Source organism: Homo sapiens, chromosome 22 (assembly GCF_000001405.40).
Source record: "Homo sapiens chromosome 22, GRCh38.p14 Primary Assembly".
NCBI classification, from domain to species: Eukaryota; Metazoa; Chordata; class Mammalia; order Primates; family Hominidae; genus Homo; species Homo sapiens.
Window position 1 is genome coordinate 20,111,875 of NC_000022.11, and position 19,902 is coordinate 20,131,776.

The window sequence follows — 19,902 nt, forward strand, 5'->3', positions numbered from 1 at the left end:
GAATGGCTGATGTCTTTATTCTGAGGGTGAGAGGCTGGCACCCTGTGGACCCTTGACTGGCCAGATCCCCTCCTGGGGCCTCCCTGCAGGCTGGACCCTGCCTTTGTAACAGCTGAGCAGCACCCCAGCATGGCCCCTTCCTTGGTTGATGCCCTCTCTGCTGGGCTGAGGGCCAGGCTGGCCACAGAGGGGCCAACTCTGCCCAGTGTTCTCCACCCCATGCCCCCAGCTGGTGCAGTTCCCAGACCTCTCTCTGCCTCTCCTCAAGTTTAAGTATCAAATCGAACATTCTTTTTTAAAGTAAGCTCTGCCCTGACTCCCCCAGCCATGCAGAGAGGCTTGCAGAGCTGCCTAGGCCTAGTTTGGCCCTTTCCCTGGCACCCAGGCCCTGTGTTCAGACCCCTGGCTCTCATCACAGAAACACCCTTTGTTGAGCAGTTGTTTATTCTGGCCCTCACAGCCTTGGCTAGTCCACAAAGGCCCTGGGGATGGGCAACAGGCTACAGGAACCCACCTGTCTTCCTGGTCAGGGCCCCTGGCCCCTAGCAGCAGGCCAATCCTGGTGGGGCACAGGGTTCTGTGCCCTTTGGCTGCCTACCTCTGAATATCCTGGCCAGCAAGCCATGCCTTCCCCGCCCCTGGGGCCCTGGGAGCCCTTCAGCTCCTGTCCCCATAATGGGTCCTGGGCCTAGGATGAGGGGAAGGTCCCAGTTTCTTGTAGGGTGTTATCTGGGGGTCCTGGTGTGGGTTGAGCTGGAGGGCTGTGGGGCCCCAAGACCCCTGTGCCATTGGGGTGCTCCACCCTCTCAAACAGGATGAGCATCTCACAGTGCGGGGTCTGCGGGAACAGGTCCACTGCCACAGCCTTGACCGGCCGGAAGGGAATGCCCTTCACCCGGTTAGATGGGGCTCTGCAGAGGCTGTGGGGGGAAAAGGGGGGCGCTAAGGTCAGCCGATAGGCTAATCAGGGGCTCCTGTGGGAGCTGGGGGCTTGGTAGCAGGCCTAGCCCCCACCCAGGCCCCTGCAGACACTCACTCCACAAAGTTGCCCATGGCTGCCCGGGGGTTGCATGAGACGTACAGCAGCCGCCTGAGGTTCTTAGCTCTCCGGATGGCCAGGATCACCTTGGAATCTGAGGAGGCAAACACCAGCTGGGTCCCCACAGCCAGAGAGTGCATAACATGGTGAGCCACCCCATGTGTCCTCGTTCCCGTGCCACCTCCTTAAGCAAAAGCCACTCACGCAAGCCAGCACGGGGTGGGTCCAGGATGGCCACGAGGTGCTGGGAGGCCAGTCTGCTCACCAGGGTGGGCACCAGGTCCTCGGCCCTCCCGCAGTGGAACTCCACATTACTCAACTCTGAAGAGATGGCACCGTGGCCTGTCAGAGGGCCACATGCCCTCCCAGCAGGGCCAGCCCTGGGGAACCCCTAGCCAAAGAGCTTGCTCACTTGCTCTACCTGTCGGGCAGCCCCCAAGCCCTGGCTGTGGCTGAGGCTTGCAGCAGGGGTGGCGGCTGCCCCCATCCCCACCCCCACCCACGGCCTTGCCACTCACCATTGTCCTGGGCGTTCACCCGGGCGTCCTCCACAGCCTCTGGGCATAGCTCGACCCCAATGACCCTCTTTACCTTCTGAAACAGGAAAGCGTGGTGTCGCCCCACCCAGGGAGGGGAGTACATGGGGCCCTGTGGGCAGCAAAGAGGAGCTGGGCCTGGGGCATGATGGAGTCAGCTGTGGTGACTTTGAGCTGGGGTCAATGGGGGTCTTGGGGTGGGGAGAGGGTGCCCTCAGCAGGGCAGGAGGGCTCACCCGGGCCAGGGCCAGGCCAATGGTGCCGGTGCCACAGCACACGTCCAGCACCATGCTCCCCGCATCCAATTGGGCCCAGTCCTGGATGACTGTGTAGAGCACCTCGGCTGCGGGTGTGTTCACCTGGGGGCAGGCGGTGCCCAGGATGTCAGTGGCTCCTCTCCTGTGGTGCCACTGGTGCCCCGACGCCCACATTCCTGGTCCCTCCATCCTGCCGGGACCTCCGGCGCCCACTCCCCACCTTGGTGCCCAACGTCTTCCCTGACCCCACCTTGGACCAGCCTTGCTGATGCCCTCATCCAGCCCCTGGCTTTAAAAGCCAAGCCCGTGCTAAGCACAGCCTCCTCCTTGCCCCACTTGGTTGAGGGCTCATGAGGCCCCGCAGGCCAATAGGCTGTACCTTCCCTGCCCCAGCAAGGGGGCTTTGCCTCCCACAACTCACACCGGGGCCCCTGGAATCACCCAACTGCAGCTCCCACCCCCACACCTAGCCCTCCAGGAGGTCCTGCCAGGCCTGTCTCCAAAAACGGCCGCTCCAGGTCCCCACAGCCTTCCTGCAGCAGTGAGCAAACAGTGAAACAGTATTTCCCAGCCCAGAGGCCACCATGGCCTCCCTCCTGCCGAGCCCAGAGCAGTGCCCTGTGGTAATGCACTGAGGGCCACTCCTCATCCTCCCTGTGACAAGGGCCACTGCCGTGTGTACCTCTAGGTTATCCCGAGTCAAATCAGTGATGACCAACCTCTTTCTTACTTCACCCTCCCCTGTGGCTCACCTGCCTGGATACTCCCCCAAATCTCACCGCCTGAGCCCACTGTTCCCATCACGTCCTGATGGTGCGTCAGGCCTCCCTCAACATGTCCCCATGCCCACCAGGGACTCATGGCTACCTGGAAGAAGGCGTGTGGAGAGATCCGGAAGGTCAGCCCTAGCAGGTCCTCGTGGATGCACCGGTCCCCAGCCACATGCTCCAGGGGCAGGCCCTCCTGGCTAGGAGTCTTTCTGTGGGCGAAGGTGCAGGTCCTTCAGTGTCACAGTCCCTGCAGGGACCTGCCCCGCCCCACTCGGGCTCCTTACCGCTGTCCCTCCTCCACGAAGTAGAGGCAGGTCACTCCACTGGCCCTGCCTGGCCCTGCTGTGAAGTGCTGCGCTAGGGAGGTCTTCAGCTCTGCCAGCTCCTCAGGGCTCAGCTTCTGGAGTAAGTGGTGAAAAGTTCCCATCAGGCTGTGCTGAGGCCCACCTAGGCTAGGCACCCTCCCCCAGCAGGGCCCCCGTTGAGACCTGGGGGTGGAAGTAGGCAATGGCCATGGCCTGGTGGCGGCGGCTGGTGCGCACAGTCAGCTGCTTCCAGTGGCCTGTGTACGTCTCTGGGTCGTATGCCGAGTATGGAGTGGACCTGTGGGAATCACGAGCTGGCCCAAGTGCCCACAACTGGGCAAGCAGTCCCCCTGCTCTCTCCTCTGGCCACACCTTCCTTCATCTGGCTGAAATGGCAGGCACTCCAGAATTCCCGGGGCAGGATCACCACCCTCTGCTCCCACACCGCATAGGACTTCCCGGGAGCCCCGTCACAGGTCCTCACCGGATGAACTCCTGGAAGGCCTTCACCACCTGCTTGGTGGCTTCGGGGATGTGCACGGTGTCAAACGGGGCTGCCACAGCACACGTCCCGCCCTTGTACTTGCCGAGCCGACAGCCCACGGTGTTATCCTCCCCATCCACCCCGACGCCAACCAGAAACTCACACTTATTACGATACTCAGTCTGCAGGGAGAGAGAGCTGCACCTTACCCTGGCTGCCCAGCGCTTGGGCCTGGAAACCCTGATTTCCCCACAGGGGCTGGCAGTCAAACAAGAGGAACAGCTGACAACTATGTGATGTTACCAGAAGAAAACACAAAGCAGGGAGATCAACAGGAAGGGTGAGCAAAAGCAAAGTTTTTCAAAACCCAGGATAGGGGTTTGTGGCCACCGAAGTCTAGTCTGACCTGCTGGGGTGATGGCCTGACCCCCTCCAGCGGGCAGCAGGCCTTGTTGTGCTTGTGCCTCTGCTCGAGCAGCCAGGGCAGCAAGGCACGGTTGGTGCTCCCGATTTCCCTGTAAGAGGAGCAGATCGGTGGTTGGACTCCACCTACTGCCCCCGACCCATGCCAGGCCACTCCCCAAATGTCCAGGCTCCTGACCCCTCCTTTGGGATGTCATTGTGCCCACTGTGACGTGGGTGTCTTGCTGGCTAGCTCCCAAAGGGGCCGCCAGATCCTGTGCTGGGCCTCCCAACTGGTGCATGGACAGGCTGAGGAAGCACAGGCCGGGCAGAGCCCTGGCCAAGAGGGGCGTCTTGCGCCCACACTCACTTGGCAAGTTTCTGCAGCACCTGCTCGCACTCCAGCTGCTTCCGCTCAAGCTGCTCAGCATAGGGCACTGTCCATAGAGGGGTCACCACGTCGGCCACTCGTGTTACTGGTGGCTCACTCTCACCCTCCTGTCGCCTCCTCCTGGCCATGGGGTCGGCCTTGGGCCGGGCCAGGCGCACACTGAGTGGGCGGCCTTTCCAGAGGGCACCATGCAAAACGCGCAGGGCCTTGTCCCTCTCTGCAGCGCTGCGGAATGTCACAAAGGCGCAGGGTGGTTGCCCAAAGAGTTTGGTTTTGTGGGGCTGCAGACCAAAGCGGCCCAGGAAGCGCCGGACGTCGCTGAAGCTGGCGTGGCGAGGCACGTTCTGCAGCTCCAGTTTAAAGATCTCAGAGGTAAACAAGTCATCCCTGATGTAGCTGTAGAGCCCGGGCTGAGGCCCCGGCCCTGTAGCCGCCCCAGCGCCCTCTTTCTCCACCTCCTCCAGGGCTGCCGGGGCTGCAGGGGGCACCGAGACGGTAGGGCAGCTCAGGGCACTGCTGCTCTCCTGGCCACAGCTCTCCATGGGCTTCGGGCCCTGTGTGGGGACAGATGGGGTGCTAGGGTGAGGACTAGGCCCTGGGGGCCTGGCCCCCCAAGCTTCCTTATGGGACACCCAGACCTCCGTCGGTGCACTCTGCACTCAGCCCTGCCCCTCCCCCAGTCTACCCTCCCGACCCCATTCCCGTCTCCTTTCCTCCCCTATCGCACCTGCCTCGTCCCCACCTATTCTCTGGCAGGTTTCCTGACCCACCCCGCCTCCTCCCACCCCATCCCCGTCTCTACCCAGCGTCTCCCCGCACTCTACCTCGTTGTCGAGGTTCTCACTCATCGCCCAGGCGGTTCTCCGCCTAGACCAGGGACGCCATGGGGGCCGCCTGGCCACCTCGTCCTGGGCCTGTCACAAGGGAAGTGGCCTGTCACAAGGGAAGTGCTCAGAGGGGAGGTGCTCACAGAGCCGGTGCAACGCCGCGAGGTCGCCGCCACCCCCGGCTTCGCCCCAGGCGGGGCGGGACTCGAACCTGCGATGCTCAGGTCCGGGTCTCAGGCTTGGGGCTGTACCGCCCGCCCGCCAGGGGCCCGCGCCGGCCGCTCGCTTCGCCAGCCACTCTTAGTCCGCCAGCGCGTGCGGCGGAGGCCGAGCGTCTCTATGATCCTGGCTTCTGGCAACGTCATCGTCACGCGCCGGATCCAACCCCCAACCACTTTAGCCAGCTCTAGAGGCGCGCGTGGCCGGGACGGAAGTGCGCGCGGGTGTCGCCGGGAGTGCGCGCTCCTCTGGCTGACGGGCGGGCCGGGCATGCGCCGCGGGCGTTTTGGCGGGAAGCGCGGGGCGGGCCGGACAATGAGAGTGTCCGCCTCCTGAGCCAATAAAGCTGTACTGGTTTTGAATCGCGGCGCGTTTCCCGCCGCTGGGGTCAGGGGTCGAGGTTCGGGTCGTGGGGCGGAGGGAAGAGCGGGCGGGCGGGAGGCGCCGGCGCCAGACGCGGAGGGAAGGAGCTACGAGTAGCCGCCGAGAGGCCGCGGAGCCAGCGACGACCGACCCAGCCGAGCCGCCGCCGCCGCCGCGCCCCCATGGCGGCCGCCAAGGTGCCGCCGGGCCCAAGCGGGGACAGGGTGGGCGGGCGGGGCCGGGGCCGTTATCAGCGGCCACGTGGGCGGCCCGCGCCGCCGCCACCAACCTCCGCCGGCCTGCAGGCTCGGCCGTCTGCTGGGCCTCGGTGGCGCGGAGTCGGGGCGCGTGGGGTTTGGGGGCTCGAGGCCTGCGGAGTTGGGGCGTTTGGGGGTGCAGGCTCTGCAGAGGCCTGGGGGCTGCAGGGCCCCCGCGTGACCTTGGGGTGGGTTGGGGAGCGGCCGTCGCCACGCGGGACGGCCCCAGCCTCCAGGAACTGGTGCGGGCGGCGGGTTTCCTCCGGCTCGGCCCACTTGGGGCTCCCCACTAGTACGGTGCATTTATTCTTTCCGTCGCCCACGCAGCACTTCATTCATTCGGTTCTTACGTCTGGAACCGCCACTGGCCTCTGTGGCAGAAGCTCGCGTTCCAGCGTGGGGCACAGGTCCTAGATGCGCCGACCCAGGCGGCGGCTTTGTTGGCTGCGGTGTCTGGTTGAGTGCGGGCCGCTGCAGAGCCGCAGTGCTGTGGGGAACAGTGAAGAGCAGCGAAAAGCTTATGTTTTCTTTTCCAGTTTGAGTCTAGTGGTGAAGTCTTGGGTCTCTTACGGACTTCTGGGTGACCAAGGCATGTGTTCTGGAAGACTCGAACCTAAAATATGATTATTGGTGCTCTCTTATCCTCTAAATTGGGCCAGGATTTCATGACTTTCACCGGTACAATTTATCTAGTTATTAACTTAGTTTTCTGAACTGTGAAAAAATTGCTGGCAGAGCTGTGAATCCAGTGTAAATACTAGCAGTCCTGTAGCGACTTTTTTCGTTTTACTAAGCAAGAGCACAACTATTTCCTAATTAGTCAAAACTGAAAGAGTTACATTTTGCTTTAAAGTAATATTTCAAAATCTATTTCGACCCATCATTGTGTCCTTTGATCTTCACACAGCAGGTATCATCTGCATTTTATGGATGAGGAAGAAACTGATGCTCAAAGAGATGAGGCAGTTTCTGCCAGGCCACTCTCTGCAAGTGTTGGCGGCTTGTAGGGTCCCCCATCAGTCTGTGCACAGATCTGATTGATGTCTGTGAATCTGGGGGAGGGGCCCCAAGTTCTGGTGTCTCACTCTGTGCTCACATGGAGCTGGGCATAAACGCAGAGCTTTCCTAGTGTGGAAGAGTGGGCCTAATTTCTTGCTTTGGGGTTGGGCCCATCCTTGTATCTGAAGTCCCTTCATTGTCGGAGGGCTGACCACTGCAGGCACTGGTTGGGCTCTGGTTGTGAGCCAGATCCATAGGCCAGCAGTGTAACCTCTTTGTATCTCCACAGGACACTCATGAGGACCATGATACTTCCACTGAGAATACAGACGAGTCCAACCATGACCCTCAGTTTGAGCCAATAGTTTCTCTTCCTGAGCAAGAAATTAAAACACTGGAAGAAGATGAAGAGGAACTTTTTAAAATGTAAGTAGGCTGATGTCCCAGAAATAGGACTCTTTAAGGTTGAGGTTACAACTTTTATGGGTGTCCAGGTTTTGGCCTGACTTTTAATCAGACTGAGGCTGCTTAAAGAAAGGGCCTAAAGTTGGTGACTAATCCCATGTGGAAATTTAACCCGTTCCTTTCATGAATCTTCACCAGATGCCCTTGCTGCCCTGCAGCCAGTTGCATGAAGGGCATCCCATCTTGCTGCTCTGTCCACTGGCATGGCGGCCCCACTGCCCTTTTTTGCCACTGGCTTCTGAGGATCCAGGGAGTCCCTTGGTTGAGCAGGGGGTTTTAAGTTTTTGCAGCATAGACTTCTTTGGCATCGTGAAGCTTATAAATCCCCCACCCGGTGTCTGTTGTTGTTGTTGTTTTGAGATGGAGTCTCGCTCTGTCGCCCAGGCTGGAGTGCAGTGGTGCGATCTTGGCTCATTGCAAGCTCCGCCTCCCAGGTTCACGCCATTCTCCTGCCTCAGCTGGAACTACAGGCACCCGCCACCACGCCCAGCTAATTTTTTGTATTTTTAGTAGAGACGGAGTTTCACCGTATTAGCCAGGATGGTCTCGATCTCCTGACCTCATGATCTGCCCACCCCAGCCTCCCAAAGTGCTGGGATTACAGGCGTCAGCTACCGCGCCCGGCCCACCCTTAATATACAACATGATGCTTGCGATAACACATGAAAATAGGTGATGGTTTAGTTATTAAAACCACTTAAAAAAATTCTGTACATGTGCTTCTTGACGCTTTCAGTTAAGAGCTGGCTACAGTGGTGGGTACCAGCCTTGTGTCTTGTGACAGTGTCACAGCACCACAGAGACTGTGGCCTGTCGCCTACACTCAGGATTGCAACAAACATCATGTTTAGTTACACACCTCAGTGAAAATGAGGTTGTAGTTTTTCCCTGTTCAAGTTCATGGAATCCCCCCATCCTTGAAGTTGCTTTAAGAGTCCAGGTTAAGGTTTTGTTGCTCTGGGGTGGGAGAGGGAAGCAGAGAGAGTCATTCCTACTGTGAGTTTCCTATCCAAGGAAGGGGGCCAGGAGGGATACCTGGGAAAGGAGAGCTGTGTGTCACCCTTTGGTCACAGAGGGTGATGGACATCTCCCTGAAACCACTGGGTGGCCATGGCTCCACTCTGCTGATGCATTGCCGTAGCCCCTGTTTGGGAGTAGCTCTTTGCTGTGGTGAAGTGCTTGCCTCTGTTCCCTCACTGCCCATGTCGGGTGGGAGGTGCTCCTGGTGGCCTGGGCCCAGGCCCTTCCTGAGGGAGGTGAGGCCAGCAGGGTGGGCCCGGGTCTTTGCAGTAAAGCTCCAGGGGCATCCTGTTGGGGAACCCTGTGAGACAGTCTCTTGCCAGAATCATGTTGGGGCAGAGAGCAGAGTCGTCTGAGAGAGGCAGGCAGAGCTGTGCACAGAGGGAGGGCGCCAGCCTGAGCCCTGAGTGCACTGCTGGATTCTGGGTGCCCTGGTCCCCAGCGGGAGGGGCTGCTCCTGGGCAGGAGGGCCAGGTGTTGGCCAGGGCCTGTTGCCTGATTAGAGGCCTGGGCCTCTTCTCTGGGTCATCTGACCTCAGATGACCCGCCCGCCTCAGCCTCCCAAAATGCTGGGATTACAGGTGTGAGCCACCGCGTCCGGTCATCTAATTCTCTTGGTTGTGGAAGTGGAATTCAAGATGACCTGGAGTTTTTTGGGCTGCTGTGCTTCCTGGTGGTGTCGTGACAGAGGTCCTTGGCCTGCACCTGATCCATGTTGTCCCTGCAGATCTCTGGGGCTGGGGTGCTCTTGCACAGTGACCATGGGACGGAGTCTTGCTCTGTTGCCCAGGCTGGAGTGCAGTGGCGCGATCTTGGCTCACTGCAACCTCTGCCTCCCAGGTTCAAGCAATTTTCCTGCCTCAGCTTCTTGAATAGCTGGGGCTATAGGCGCATGCCTCCATGCCTGGCTGATTTTTTGTATTTTTAGTAGAGATGGGGTTTCACCGAGTTAGTCAGGATGGTCTGGATCTCCTGACCTCATGATCCACCTGCCTTGGCCTCCCAAAGTGCTGGAATTACAGGCGTGAGCCCCCGCGCCTGCTCTCTCTTTTTTTTTTGAGATGGAATTTCGCTCTTGCTGCCCAGGCTGGTGCGCAATGGTGTGATCTCAGCTCGCCGCAACCTCTGCCTCCCGGCTTCAAGGGATTCTCCTGCCTCAGCCTCCCGAGTAGCTGGGATTACAGGCATGTGCCACCACACCCGGCTAATTTTGTATTTTTAGTAGAGAGGGGGTTTCTCCACGTTGGTCAGGCTGGTCTCGAACTCCCGACGTCAGGTGATCCACCCACCTCAGCCTCCCAAAGTGTGGGATTACAGGCGTGGGCCACTGTGCCCTGTTTTGTTTTGTTTTTTTTTAAAATAGGGTCTCACTCTCACCCAGGCTGGAGTGCAGCAGTGGTATCATGGCTCACTGCAGCCTTGAACTCCTGCGCTCAAGGGATCCTCCTCCCTCTGCCTCTTGAGTAGCTGAGACTACGGGTGTTAGCCATCATGTCCAGCTAATTTTTATCTTTTTGTAGAGATAGTGTCTTGCTATGTTGCCCAGGCTGGTCCCCACTGAGGGAAATATTGTGACTGTAGGAGCAGTGGGGCAATCTCCACTCACTGTATCCTCTGCCTCCTGGGCTCAAGTGATTGTCGTGCCTCAGCCTCCTGAGTAGCTGGGATTACAGGCGTGCATCACCACACTCAGATGATTTTTGTATTTGTAGTAGAGATGGGGTTTCACCATGTTGGCCAGGCTGGTTTTGAACTCCTAACCTCAGATGACCTGCCCGCCTCGGCCTCCCCGAATGCTGGGATTACAAATGAGCCACCGCGCCCGGTCGTCTAATTCTCTTGGTTGTGGAACCGGAATTCAAGATGACCTGGAGTTTGTTGGGCTGCTGCGCTTTCTGGTGGTGTTGTGACGGGCAGTTCTTGGAGCCTGAAGAAGGGCTGGGGCGTTCGTGGAGGCATGGGGTCCTGCAGTGCAGAGTTGTCCTGTGTCCTCCTGCGCAGGCCCTGCATGTGGGCTGCAGGTCTGCACTCTTAACCTCACGGCTTTTCTTGCAGGCGGGCAAAACTGTTCCGATTTGCCTCTGAGAACGATCTCCCAGAATGGAAGGAGCGAGGCACTGGTGACGTCAAGCTCCTGAAGCACAAGGAGAAAGGGGCCATCCGCCTCCTCATGCGGAGGGACAAGACCCTGAAGATCTGTGCCAACCACTACAGTAGGTGGCATGAACGACCACCTCGACAGTCCCCAGCAGCTTGGCCTGGGACCTTTGGGAAGATTCAGGGCTGATTGGGAACTGGGGAGCGTGTTATTTCATGGAGTGCAAGTTTGTGGTGTGTTTGTTGAATTTAAAACCAGAAATACGTTTTTCAGACGTGCCTCTGAACTCAGAGCAGGCCCGCAGCGAAGCTTAGAGCACACGGGGGTGTGGAGTCAGCCAGACGGGCCCTGATGGGAGGACGCAGCGCCCAGGCTGGGCTCGGGACGAGGAGTGAGTGCTGCAGGGCGAGGGGGTGCTGTGTGTGTGTGTGTGTGTGTGTGTGTGTGTGTGTGTGTGGTGTCTGGGGGGTGGGGGTTGGTGTCTGGGGGGGGTTAATGGGGGGTATGTGTAGTATCTAGGGGGCTGTGGTGTCTACTGGTGGTGGTGTATAGGGGTGTGTGGTTCGGTGTGTGTGGTGTCTGGGGCAGGGGGCTGTGTGGTGTCTGAAGGTGTGTGGTGTCTGGGGCGGGGGTTGTGTGGTTGGGTGTGGTGTTTGGGGGTGTGTAGTTGGTCTGGTGTCTGGGGGGTGTGGTGGGGTATGTGGTTGGGTGTGGTGTCTGGCGGGGGTGGTTGGGGGTGTGTGGTTGGGGGTCTGGTGTCTGGGTGTTTGGTGTTTGGGGTGTGTATGTGGTGTCTGGGGGTGTGTGTAGTGTCTGAAGGTGTGTGGTCTGGGGGGCTGTGTGGTGTCTGAAGGTGTGTCGGGGCATGTGTGGTGTCTGAAGGTGTGTGGTGTCTGGGGAGGTGTACAGTGTGTGGTGTCTGGGGGGCGGGTGTGGTATCCGGGGTGTGTGTAGGGGTCATCTGGTGTTTGGTGTCTAGGGGGGTTTGTGGTGTCTAAGGGGTGTGGTTGGGTGTGTGTGGTGTCTGGGGGTGTTGGGGTGTGTGGTGTCTGGGGGTGTTGGGGTGTGTGGTGTCTGGGGGTGTTGGGGTGTGTGTTGTCTGGGGGTGTTGGGGTGTGTGGTGTTGGGGGGGGTGTGTGGTGTCTGGGGGGGTTTGGTGTCTGAGGGGGTGCGGTATCGCGGTGGGGGTGTGTGTGAGAGAGATTGGGGGTGTTCGGGCAGTGTAAGAGCAGATGTGTGAGGTGCCCAGGCACCAGCCTCCCCAGTTATGGTGTGTTCTACCCTCACCAGGATCTTCCTGGGGAGGAAACGGGAGGGGAACGGGGCTGAGAAGGTGGCCAGGTCCTGGGCGCCTCTGAAGCTACATAAGTAGAGGCCCTTGGGCAGGTTCAGCCAAGAGCTCCAGCCACCCTGTGAGGGGTCCAGCCTGGCCTGCAAAGAAGTGGCAGTAGGTTGTCCTGAGTATGGCTGGCTGCCAGCTGTCTTTAGATTGAACCTGCACTGCCCAGCTTGTTGGCATGTTTGGAAGTACACTTGTCCTGGGGTGTCCCTTGGTAAGCTTCCTAGTGTCGTTTGCTGAGTGTCATGCGTGTCCGGCGGGGCAGGGTCCCTCATCCCAGGTGCAGGATGACTGCTGGCAGGAGCCTGAGTGGCTCAGCCCTTGAGGGCGATGCAGAGGGGTGGGTGGTGGTCTGCCTATGCCATGGGCACCTCACTGCACGGCCTGGCCTGCCAGACTTCCTTGGGAACTGGCTCCTGGGTTCCCCTCCCTCCCTGCTCAGCATGTCTAGTCCTGGGGAAGCTTGCACTCTGGCTGGTCCTCCTCCTCGAGCCGTTTGAATCATTTCCTTGGGGGTCTTCCCTGATGCCCTGTGCTGCTCCCAGAGCCTGGGTCAGGTTGTGGGTTGTTGTGTGTGCATCATAAGTTGGTTCTGGGCTCCTGGGCATCTGGGCAGAGCCATCTGTGTAGCCAGCAGTGTCTTGTGCCCATCATGGGCCCTTGGTAGACAGGGAAAGTGGCAGTGGGTAGAGGCTGGCTTCTGGGTAAGGTGTCGAAGAGGCTGTGGGCTGGGTCGGGGCGGGGTGTGAAGGGGGCATGCAGGGGGCTTGGCATCCGCTGTGGCAGGCTGCAGTAGACGAGACCCCCCCCCAGCTCCCAGTTCAGATAGTGACGTGTAGGGGTATCCTGGGGGTGCATGTGGCCTGGACTGGGCATGGGCACCTGGGATGGTCTGGGTTCTCAGGGAGCTGTTCTGAAGAGTGGTCACCTGCAGGGCCATCTCCCCTTGGGGCTGCCTGTGCCTGGGGAGTTGGGGTGGAGGCGTCCATTGCAGGCCGTGGCTCTGTCTCCTGTGCCCTCCAGGCTTCAGTCATGGGGATGCAGGTGGGCACTCCTGCATCAATCATGGGGATGCATGGCCACGGCCCCCAGTGGGCTCCCTTCTGGCAACTGCCCCACTTTCTAGCCTTCTGCTGCCCCCCACTTTCAGATAGGCTGGCTCTATGTGTTGGGTTCCCTTAGGAAAGACTGGGCCCCCTGGGCCTTGTGCCCTGATATCTGACCCTGGGCTTCTGACTTCACGGCCAGGGTCAGAATCAAGGGGATCAGGGTTGGGCTTGAGTGCAGCCCTGGGATACAGCTGGGGCCTGCTTTGCCAGCTCTGCTTCTCTGCATTTCTGGAGGTGGGGGTCTGTGTGCCAAGTGATCTTGAACACAGCTCAGGAGCTCCTCGTGGAGATGGCCTTACGGTCAGGGAACAGGTGCCCATTCCTATTTAGGATGGTCCTGGTTTTAAGTGAATATGGAGGATTTTCAAAGAGGTTTGAATAAAACTCAGGCGCCGTGGTACTTTGTCTAAGCCTGGTTCTCCAACCCCAGACTGTCCCCGTGTTGTCTGAAGCAGACCCCTCAGGTTGGTGAGCAGGGTGCTCTGTGGCCGAGGGCTGGGTGGGCTGGCCTTTGCAGTCATCTCACCATCTTCACGAGCTTCTCTCTCTTCAGTCACGCCGATGATGGAGCTGAAGCCCAACGCAGGTAGCGACCGTGCCTGGGTCTGGAACACCCACGCTGACTTCGCCGACGAGTGCCCCAAGCCAGAGCTGCTGGCCATCCGCTTCCTGAATGCTGAGAGTGAGCCAAGGGCCCTGGGGACCTGCCTGACTTGGGGCTCACCTGCGTGGCAGCGTGGCGGGTTATGTGCAACAAATGCTGTTGCCTTTTGGGGAGAGGGGGCAGTAACTGGGAAGTGTGTCGTGTGGGCTGCCCTGCCCTGCTGTTTGGGGGCCATGCCCAGACTGAAGCCATGAGCAGCGCCTTCCCCCTTAAACTCAAAGCTGTGCCAAGTAGCTGGTGAACAGCAGTGCCCGCTCAGCCGCCTTGTGGCTGGCACTTTGGTTTGCTCTCCAAGCTCCGGTTCCCATTAGTTGTTGCGGAGCCTGAGGCCCAACCCAGGGCTTCCTCCCAGTGCTGATCCTCGTGCCAGGCTTCTGGTTCACTGGGGCCAGGGGCCCCTCATGGTTGCCTGGGTGCCAGCAGGGGCTGGGCAGAGAGATCCACAGGCCCAGGCTGATCTCTTCCCTGCTCAGAGGTCTTTCCAGTCCAGATCGTCCAAGCTGCGTCCAGTGGCTCCTGGAGGAGTCAGTGGGTACTGTGGCCTGGCGCCTGGTAGCTGGCCGTTTGGTGCCAAGTGACCTTGTCCTTGCTGTGGGCGTGGCTGCCCCAGCAGCCTTTCCAACACGGTTGGGAGCCGAGCCTGTGGCAAAGAGGCCCATGCCCCTTGGTTGCCTGAGGGTCCGTGCTCTACCGCTCTGCCCAAATGGGTGCAGTCAGATGAAGGAGACAGAAGGCCAGGGCCGATGTCAGGTGGACCAGTCCTTTCTTAGGTCAGCAATTACCATGAAATGGGTCTTCTGTGAATCCTGACTCTTCAGACCCGGCAGGGCATGTCTCTTCCACTGCTCACAGCTCTTAGGAAGTCTTCGCTCTCCCTTCCACAGATGCACAGAAATTCAAAACAAAGTTTGAAGAATGCAGGAAAGAGATCGAAGAGAGAGAAAAGAAAGGTGACGTGGTGCCATGGGTTGGGGGGCTTCTTTGCAGACTCACTCTGCATCTGACTATACTTCCAGGCGGGTGCTTTTTCTGTCTGCCAGATAAACATTCCAGGGTGCTGTGGCCGCCTCACGTATCCAGAGTGATGCAGCTCCCTGGGGACACAGGTGCTTCCTGGGGAGCCCTGAGCACTTGTCAGTGTTGCTGGCCTCAGTCCAATTGGGCAGGCATTGGAGTCCGGGCACTGCCTGGAGCTCACCAGAAGGTGCTTTATGATGGTCCTCGGTTTGTCTCTCAGAGGGCTTGGTCACCTCTGCCATGAGGCTGGACTGCAGCTGTGGTGGCAAGTGACCAGATGTCACTGAGCAGCCTGACCATGGTCTAGGCAGTGCTTGAGTGCATCCACCTGGCTTCCTTTCGTCACTGAATTTCAAGAAGACAGACTCCAGGAGGCGGCTTGGCCAGGCAGGAGTCTGTCCCGAGGGCGGGCAAGCCGCTGTGGGTGGGTGACGGCACTTGGGACCAGCCTGGCGAGGGCCATGTGCTTGAATGCACCGTGCTTCTGTTTTCTCACTGTGCTGCTTGTGTTTTTAGCAGGATCAGGCAAAAATGATCATGCCGAAAAAGTGGCGGAAAAGCTAGAAGCTCTCTCGGTGAAGGAGGAGACCAAGGAGGATGCTGAGGAGAAGCAATAAATCGTCTTATTTTATTTTCTTTTCCTCTCTTTCCTTTCCTTTTTTTAAAAAATTTTACCCTGCCCCTCTTTTTCGGTTTGTTTTTATTCTTTCATTTTTACAAGGGACGTTATATAAAGAACTGAACTCAACATTCAGGTTGTTTTTTTTTTTTGTTTCTAAGTTTTTGCCCTATTGAAGATGACTTCAGAAAATCCATTCCCCAGTCATGAAAATGTACTGTGCTAACTTTCTTTTCCATAGTGGAAACACTTATTTATAGTCATCAAAAATAGTGAATAAAAAACACATTTGGAACCTGGGCCAGATGGCAGGACTGTGTGTGTACAGGCCCCTGCGCTGTGAGCGCCGCTCGCCTAAGCCTCCCGGGTGTATGTCCAGGCCTGTCCGCAGCACAGGTGGGTGCTGCACCTCACGGTAGCCTGGGTTCCTGGGAGAGACGCCCTGGTGTCTGAGGTCGTGCATGTATCTTGCTGTGGGCCTTGAAGCTGAGGTGTCTGAGCTGGCGCTGGTGAGGGAGCCTGGCCAGGGGTGTCTGGTGCCGGGTGTGGTACTGATGCACGACTGTGGGCTGGGCAGCGTGGGCTCTGCCGAGGCAGGCTCCACTGTGCCTTATGGCCTGAACAGCTACTGCTTTTTTTCTATGGTGAGGAGGGGTGGGCTTTCTGTGTTTTGAGGAGAGAAAGGAAGACCACTGGAGTACCTTGGCTTTGGAGCAGGGAGGCAGTAGCCAACTGAGCAGAGTCTCTAGCATCGGCCAAGGCTGACTTTGGCCCCTGTGGCAGAGTGGCCCCTGTGGAGGGAAAGGCCAGTCTGGTGTGCTGGGGGTGGGGGCTCGGCCCTGTAGCTCTTCTTTTGGAAAGCCTATTGTACCCTGGCCTTGGAGAAAACTGGGGTCTTGGCCTCCTGGACTTGAAGTCCACACTTGGCAGTGTTGGAGTTATGGGCATCTGCAGTAACTTTAAATAAGGAGATATTTTCCAGTACGCCATTGGGGGTTGTCATGTGTAATGGATTGTCTCTGCAAATACCATCTTAAGTGTGTGGTCCCAACTGCCATAACGTGCCCTGTCACCGTTTGTCATGAACACCTACCAGACGTGCTTACTGTGAGGCTGGCTGCCTGCTGCCATCACTTGCTCTTTCGTGCCCTCCACCTGGGCCTGGGCCCTGTTCTCTCTGACCTCCGTGTGCTGTGTCCTGTCTGGTGACTGCCTGCTGGTTTAAACACCAGTCCTTTGTCTCTCTGGGGCAGGGGTCCCCAATCCCTGGCCTGCCGACCGGTACAAGTCTGGCCTGTTAAGAACTGGGCAACACAGCAGGAGGTGAGTGGTGGGCGAGCGAGCTTTACCACCTGAGCGCCTCCCCTCAGATAAGCAGGGCATTAGATTCCTATAGGAGTGCGAACGCTAACGTGAACTACGCATGTGAGGAATCCGTGTTGTGCACTCCTTATGAGAACCTAGTGCCTGATGATCTGGGGTGGACAGTTTCATCCTGAAACCACTCCCCCACCCCTGGTCCATGGAAAAATTGTTTTCCACCAAACTGATCCTTGGTGCCAAAAGGGTTGGGGACTGCTGCTCTGGGGGATGTACTTCCAAAGTCAACTACTCTCAGGTTTGTTTATTTTTACATAAATGGGAACCACTTTATGGTCTCTAGCATCAGCCAAGGCTGACTTTGGTGGGTCCCTGTGGCAGAGTGGCCCCTGCAGAGGAAAAGGCCAGCTCAGGAGAGAAGGCTGTGCCGACTCCTCATGGTTTCCAGTGCCCTACATGTTCAGAGAAACGTCTTTGGTAATGAACTATGGAAATGGTCCCTGAAGGTATGGTCTTTGCTCTAGAAAAAGCCCAACTGATGACTCCTCACTGGCATCTTGACTGTGTTCTGTGAGCTGTGGCCCTCATGCTCATGGACTGCTTGCCTCCAGCAGGTTGGCAGGGGGACAGTGGTGCACTTTGCACCCAAGAAGAGGTGAAGCCTGTGCCCTATGCCCTGTGCCGAGTGAGGTCCTCGTGTTGGGAGGGTGACGCCGTCCACTGCAGATGGTGCCTTGCTGTGCTGCACTCTTGGTGACACCCGGGGCCCCAGGTCGGGTACAGGTGTCAGTTGGAGGCTTTGATGTCTGTGAAAGGGAGGGCCCCTTGCACTGGCTGGAGCTTCCAGGAGAGAAGCCCTTGGCTAGGACAGGCACCCCCCAGCACAGAAAGGATGTTTAGCATTCTGTATTTGATTTGGGGTTCCAATAAAATTCCAGGCTGACTTCCTTCATCTGGGGATGGGAGAAATGTCTCCAAGGGAGAGTCCCCAGCAGTGAGAAGGCCCCTCGGAATGGCTGGGAGACAGTGCCATCCTGTGGTGGGGCTGTGTTGCAGGGTGCATTTGAGGATGCAGCTTGTTGACACTGCAGGATGCGATGGTGCTGCGGGAAGGGAGCTGTGCTGGGAGACAGAATGCGTCCGCGTGCTGGCCCCACGGGACCACAGGGTAGGCTATACAAGGACGCCCATGTGGGCACTCGGGCCAGCCGTCCAGCCCAGTGTGTTTCCATTGGCTTCCCTTTGGCAGACAATGGTGAGCAGAATGGGGTCCTGCCGGTGCTGGGGACTGTGTGAGAATGCAGTGTGCTTCAGCCTTCCATCCCATGTCTGTCTGCCGGGCTGCAGGCTGGGGAGCCTCCTGCTTTCTGCTTCATTTTCCTTTTCCCTGGGATCTTAGCTCTTCTTGAGGAGGAAACTAGGCCATGGGCTTGGCAGCCATGTTGGGTGGGGAGGCCGGTGCCAACCTCGCTTGGTTCTCTGTCTCCAGTAGTGGGTCTGCACTACTTGGGACCCCTCTGCCCAGGCCTCTGTGTTAAGGAAAAGGGATCCCAAGGCCAGATGCAATGGTTGACACCTGTCACCCCAGCACTTTGGGAGGCAAACGTGGGAGGATCACTTCAGGCCAGGAGTTCAAGGCCAGCTTGGGCAACATAGTGAGAGACCCTATCTCTACAAAAAAATATAAAAAAAATAGCCTGGCATGGTGGTGCACGTCTGTGGTCCCAGCTACTTGGGAAGCTGAGGCAGGAGGATCACTTGAACCCTGGAGGTTGAGGCTTCAGTGAGCCATGATTGCACCACTGCACTCCAGCCTGGGTGGCAGAGTGAAACCCTGTGTTAAAAACTCAAGGGAAAAGGGATCTCACCAAGTAGGCCTGATTCCGCTTCTTCCCACTGTCAGCATTTGGCAGTTTACTCCAGGGTTCAGCTGGTGGAGGAAGGTGACAGTCCTGGCACCCTGCACAGAGCATGGGCATGGAGTCAGACCTGGATCCTGAGGGGCTCTGTGGCATGTGCCACTAGAGGAGGCACTTCATGGGGGAAGGTAGGAGCAAGGGCAAGGCTGGAGATGGGCACCAGGTGGCAGGTGTGTTGCCAACTGAGAGGCTCACTTGTGGCCACTGCAGAGCCCAGGTAACGAGCCATCTGCTCCAGTGGTGTCTGCTCTAGGCTCACCATTGTGCCCTGAGACCCCTCCACTGCCTCAGAGCTACCATCAGTGCTTGGGAGCGCTCCAGGCTGCACCTCCTGGAGCAGGGCACCCTGAGAACAGAGCTTACCACTACGGCTGCCTGGGAGAAAGCCCATCACCATTTCTGCTGTGCAGTAGTTAGTTGCATTAAGGGCTGGGTCCCGGCCCCAGTCCTGGGTTCCTCCTTCCAATAGCCACAACCCTGGCCTGCCCACCCTGAGGAGCTGCGGCCGGGTGCTTCCCCAGGGGAGCAGGGGCCTGCAGGCCAAGGAGCCTCATGCCTGTGCCGCAGGGTAGGGCCGCTCGGGGTTCTGGTTGCAGAGGAGCAGACACTCAGGGCTGGGGGCGATGGGTGAGGTCCCCCCACAGATCTCCACCTAGGGAGGGGTCTAATGGGTCTGGGCTTCAGAACAGGGGACGCTCGGGGCATGTTGGCGTGGCCGAGGACAATGACCCTCACTGGGGACGCTCCGGAGCTTGACTGAGGGTCTCCCGCTGGCACCGCCTCCTCTGCCGGCGTGTGTGTGTCTGGGGGGGGGACCCACACGAGGCCCCGCCCCACCCCGCCCACAGCGCCGTCGGCCCCGGCCCGGTCCACCTTAAGCGGCGGCGGGGCGGGTGGGATTTCCTGCGGGAGGAGACGCGCCGGGCCTATCGGGCAGGGCCGGGGCGCCGGGCTTCCCAAAGGGCCCCGCCTCGGGGAGGATGGGGGCTCCAGCCGACCGTCTCTCAAGCCTGCAGCTCGGGCCAGGACGTGGAGGGCCCGGCGCCCGCTGGCCGGGCTCCTCCAGCCCAGTGGCCCGAGGGAGGGCTGCGAGGCGGTCAGAAGGCAAACAGCCACGACGCCGCTGCGGTGTCACACCCGCGCCCCCTCGTGAATTCCAAGGGGCTTCAGACCAGAGGGGTCGTTAGGGAAAGGGCTGCGCCCACAGACGCCCCCGAGGCCACCTGCACGGCTCCGCGGCCCGGGACCAGGGGGGCCTGGCCTTCGCCGTGGTGCCCACCACCCGGGCCGCAGGGGTGCGTGGGTGCCCGGCCCCCGAGAGCCGCGGGCGCCCGCCGGGCTGGGGTCCCCGAGGCCGCGGGGTCCTGCCCCCTCCGAAGGTCCCGCGAACCGGTGGCGGTCCCCGGGCCCCATCAACTCGCCCCGCCCGGTCCCGCCCCGCCGCGGCCCCCAGCGCCCGGTCCACCTTAAGGGGCGCGCTGAC

At 59.2% G+C, this 19,902-nt stretch overlaps 2 protein-coding genes and 2 non-coding genes across 17 annotated transcripts, besides 7 other annotated features; 2 read left to right on the plus strand and 2 right to left on the minus strand.

The window, feature by feature from the left end:
- Window positions 1-5,352, minus strand: TRMT2A (tRNA methyltransferase 2A). 6 transcript variants are annotated; one of them, NM_182984.5, is made up of 13 exons: window positions 5,223-5,352; window positions 5,009-5,098; window positions 4,164-4,738; window positions 3,798-3,906; window positions 3,392-3,573; window positions 3,091-3,205; window positions 2,887-3,002; window positions 2,700-2,811; window positions 1,812-1,934; window positions 1,558-1,633; window positions 1,244-1,360; window positions 1,037-1,133; window positions 1-920 (listed from the first exon to the last, which is right to left on the minus strand). In NM_182984.5, the coding sequence occupies exons 2-13, from the start codon at window positions 5,030-5,032 to the stop codon at window positions 689-691; spliced, it is 1,878 nt and encodes a 625-aa protein (NP_892029.2). In that variant the 5' UTR covers window positions 5,033-5,098; window positions 5,223-5,352; the 3' UTR covers window positions 1-688. The 6 variants fall into 6 exon arrangements, with proteins under 6 accessions (NP_892029.2, XP_011528441.1, NP_073564.3 ...); XM_011530139.4 differs by having other exon boundaries at window positions 1,558-1,687; NM_022727.6 differs by having other exon boundaries at window positions 5,009-5,352.
- Window positions 104-603: an enhancer, noted in NCBI's record as "H3K4me1 hESC enhancer chr22:20099501-20100000 (GRCh37/hg19 assembly coordinates)". NCBI's record gives its function as "activates a minimal SCP1, AML or CMV promoter by ChIP-STARR-seq in naive H9 embryonic stem cells {active_cell/tissue: H9 hESC(naive)}" and the evidence as "EXISTENCE:reporter gene assay evidence [ECO:0000049][PMID:30033119]".
- MIR6816 (microRNA 6816) lies at window positions 2,812-2,877 on the minus strand. The gene has a single exon (NR_106874.1). It is a non-coding gene; the product is annotated as a microRNA 6816 (primary transcript).
- On the plus strand, window positions 4,230-15,481 carry RANBP1 (RAN binding protein 1). 9 transcript variants are annotated; one of them, NM_001278639.2, is made up of 6 exons: window positions 4,230-4,556; window positions 7,139-7,275; window positions 10,390-10,547; window positions 13,434-13,562; window positions 14,429-14,494; window positions 15,078-15,481. In NM_001278639.2, the coding sequence occupies exons 1-6, from the start codon at window positions 4,311-4,313 to the stop codon at window positions 15,176-15,178; spliced, it is 837 nt and encodes a 278-aa protein (NP_001265568.1). In that variant the 5' UTR covers window positions 4,230-4,310; the 3' UTR covers window positions 15,179-15,481. The 9 variants fall into 9 exon arrangements, with proteins under 9 accessions (NP_001265568.1, NP_002873.1, NP_001265569.1 ...); NM_002882.4 differs by lacking the exon at window positions 4,230-4,556 and adding an exon at window positions 5,631-5,790; NM_001278640.2 differs by lacking the exon at window positions 4,230-4,556 and adding an exon at window positions 5,631-5,790 and having other exon boundaries at window positions 15,081-15,481.
- Window positions 5,173-5,252: a silencer, noted in NCBI's record as "silent region_13474". NCBI's record gives its function as "represses an Ori minimal core promoter by ATAC-STARR-seq in GM12878 lymphoblastoid cells {active_cell/tissue: GM12878}" and the evidence as "EXISTENCE:reporter gene assay evidence [ECO:0000049][PMID:35858748]".
- Window positions 5,493-6,052: a silencer, noted in NCBI's record as "silent region_13475". NCBI's record gives its function as "represses an Ori minimal core promoter by ATAC-STARR-seq in GM12878 lymphoblastoid cells {active_cell/tissue: GM12878}" and the evidence as "EXISTENCE:reporter gene assay evidence [ECO:0000049][PMID:35858748]".
- Window positions 6,173-6,232: a silencer, noted in NCBI's record as "silent region_13476". NCBI's record gives its function as "represses an Ori minimal core promoter by ATAC-STARR-seq in GM12878 lymphoblastoid cells {active_cell/tissue: GM12878}" and the evidence as "EXISTENCE:reporter gene assay evidence [ECO:0000049][PMID:35858748]".
- Window positions 14,528-14,652, plus strand: SNORA77B (small nucleolar RNA, H/ACA box 77B). Its single transcript, NR_145765.1, has one exon. It is a non-coding gene; the product is annotated as a small nucleolar RNA, H/ACA box 77B (small nucleolar RNA).
- Window positions 17,033-17,082: an enhancer, noted in NCBI's record as "active region_18671". NCBI's record gives its function as "activates an Ori minimal core promoter by ATAC-STARR-seq in GM12878 lymphoblastoid cells {active_cell/tissue: GM12878}" and the evidence as "EXISTENCE:reporter gene assay evidence [ECO:0000049][PMID:35858748]".
- Window positions 19,143-19,532: a silencer, noted in NCBI's record as "silent region_13477". NCBI's record gives its function as "represses an Ori minimal core promoter by ATAC-STARR-seq in GM12878 lymphoblastoid cells {active_cell/tissue: GM12878}" and the evidence as "EXISTENCE:reporter gene assay evidence [ECO:0000049][PMID:35858748]".
- Window positions 19,733-19,802: a silencer, noted in NCBI's record as "silent region_13478". NCBI's record gives its function as "represses an Ori minimal core promoter by ATAC-STARR-seq in GM12878 lymphoblastoid cells {active_cell/tissue: GM12878}" and the evidence as "EXISTENCE:reporter gene assay evidence [ECO:0000049][PMID:35858748]".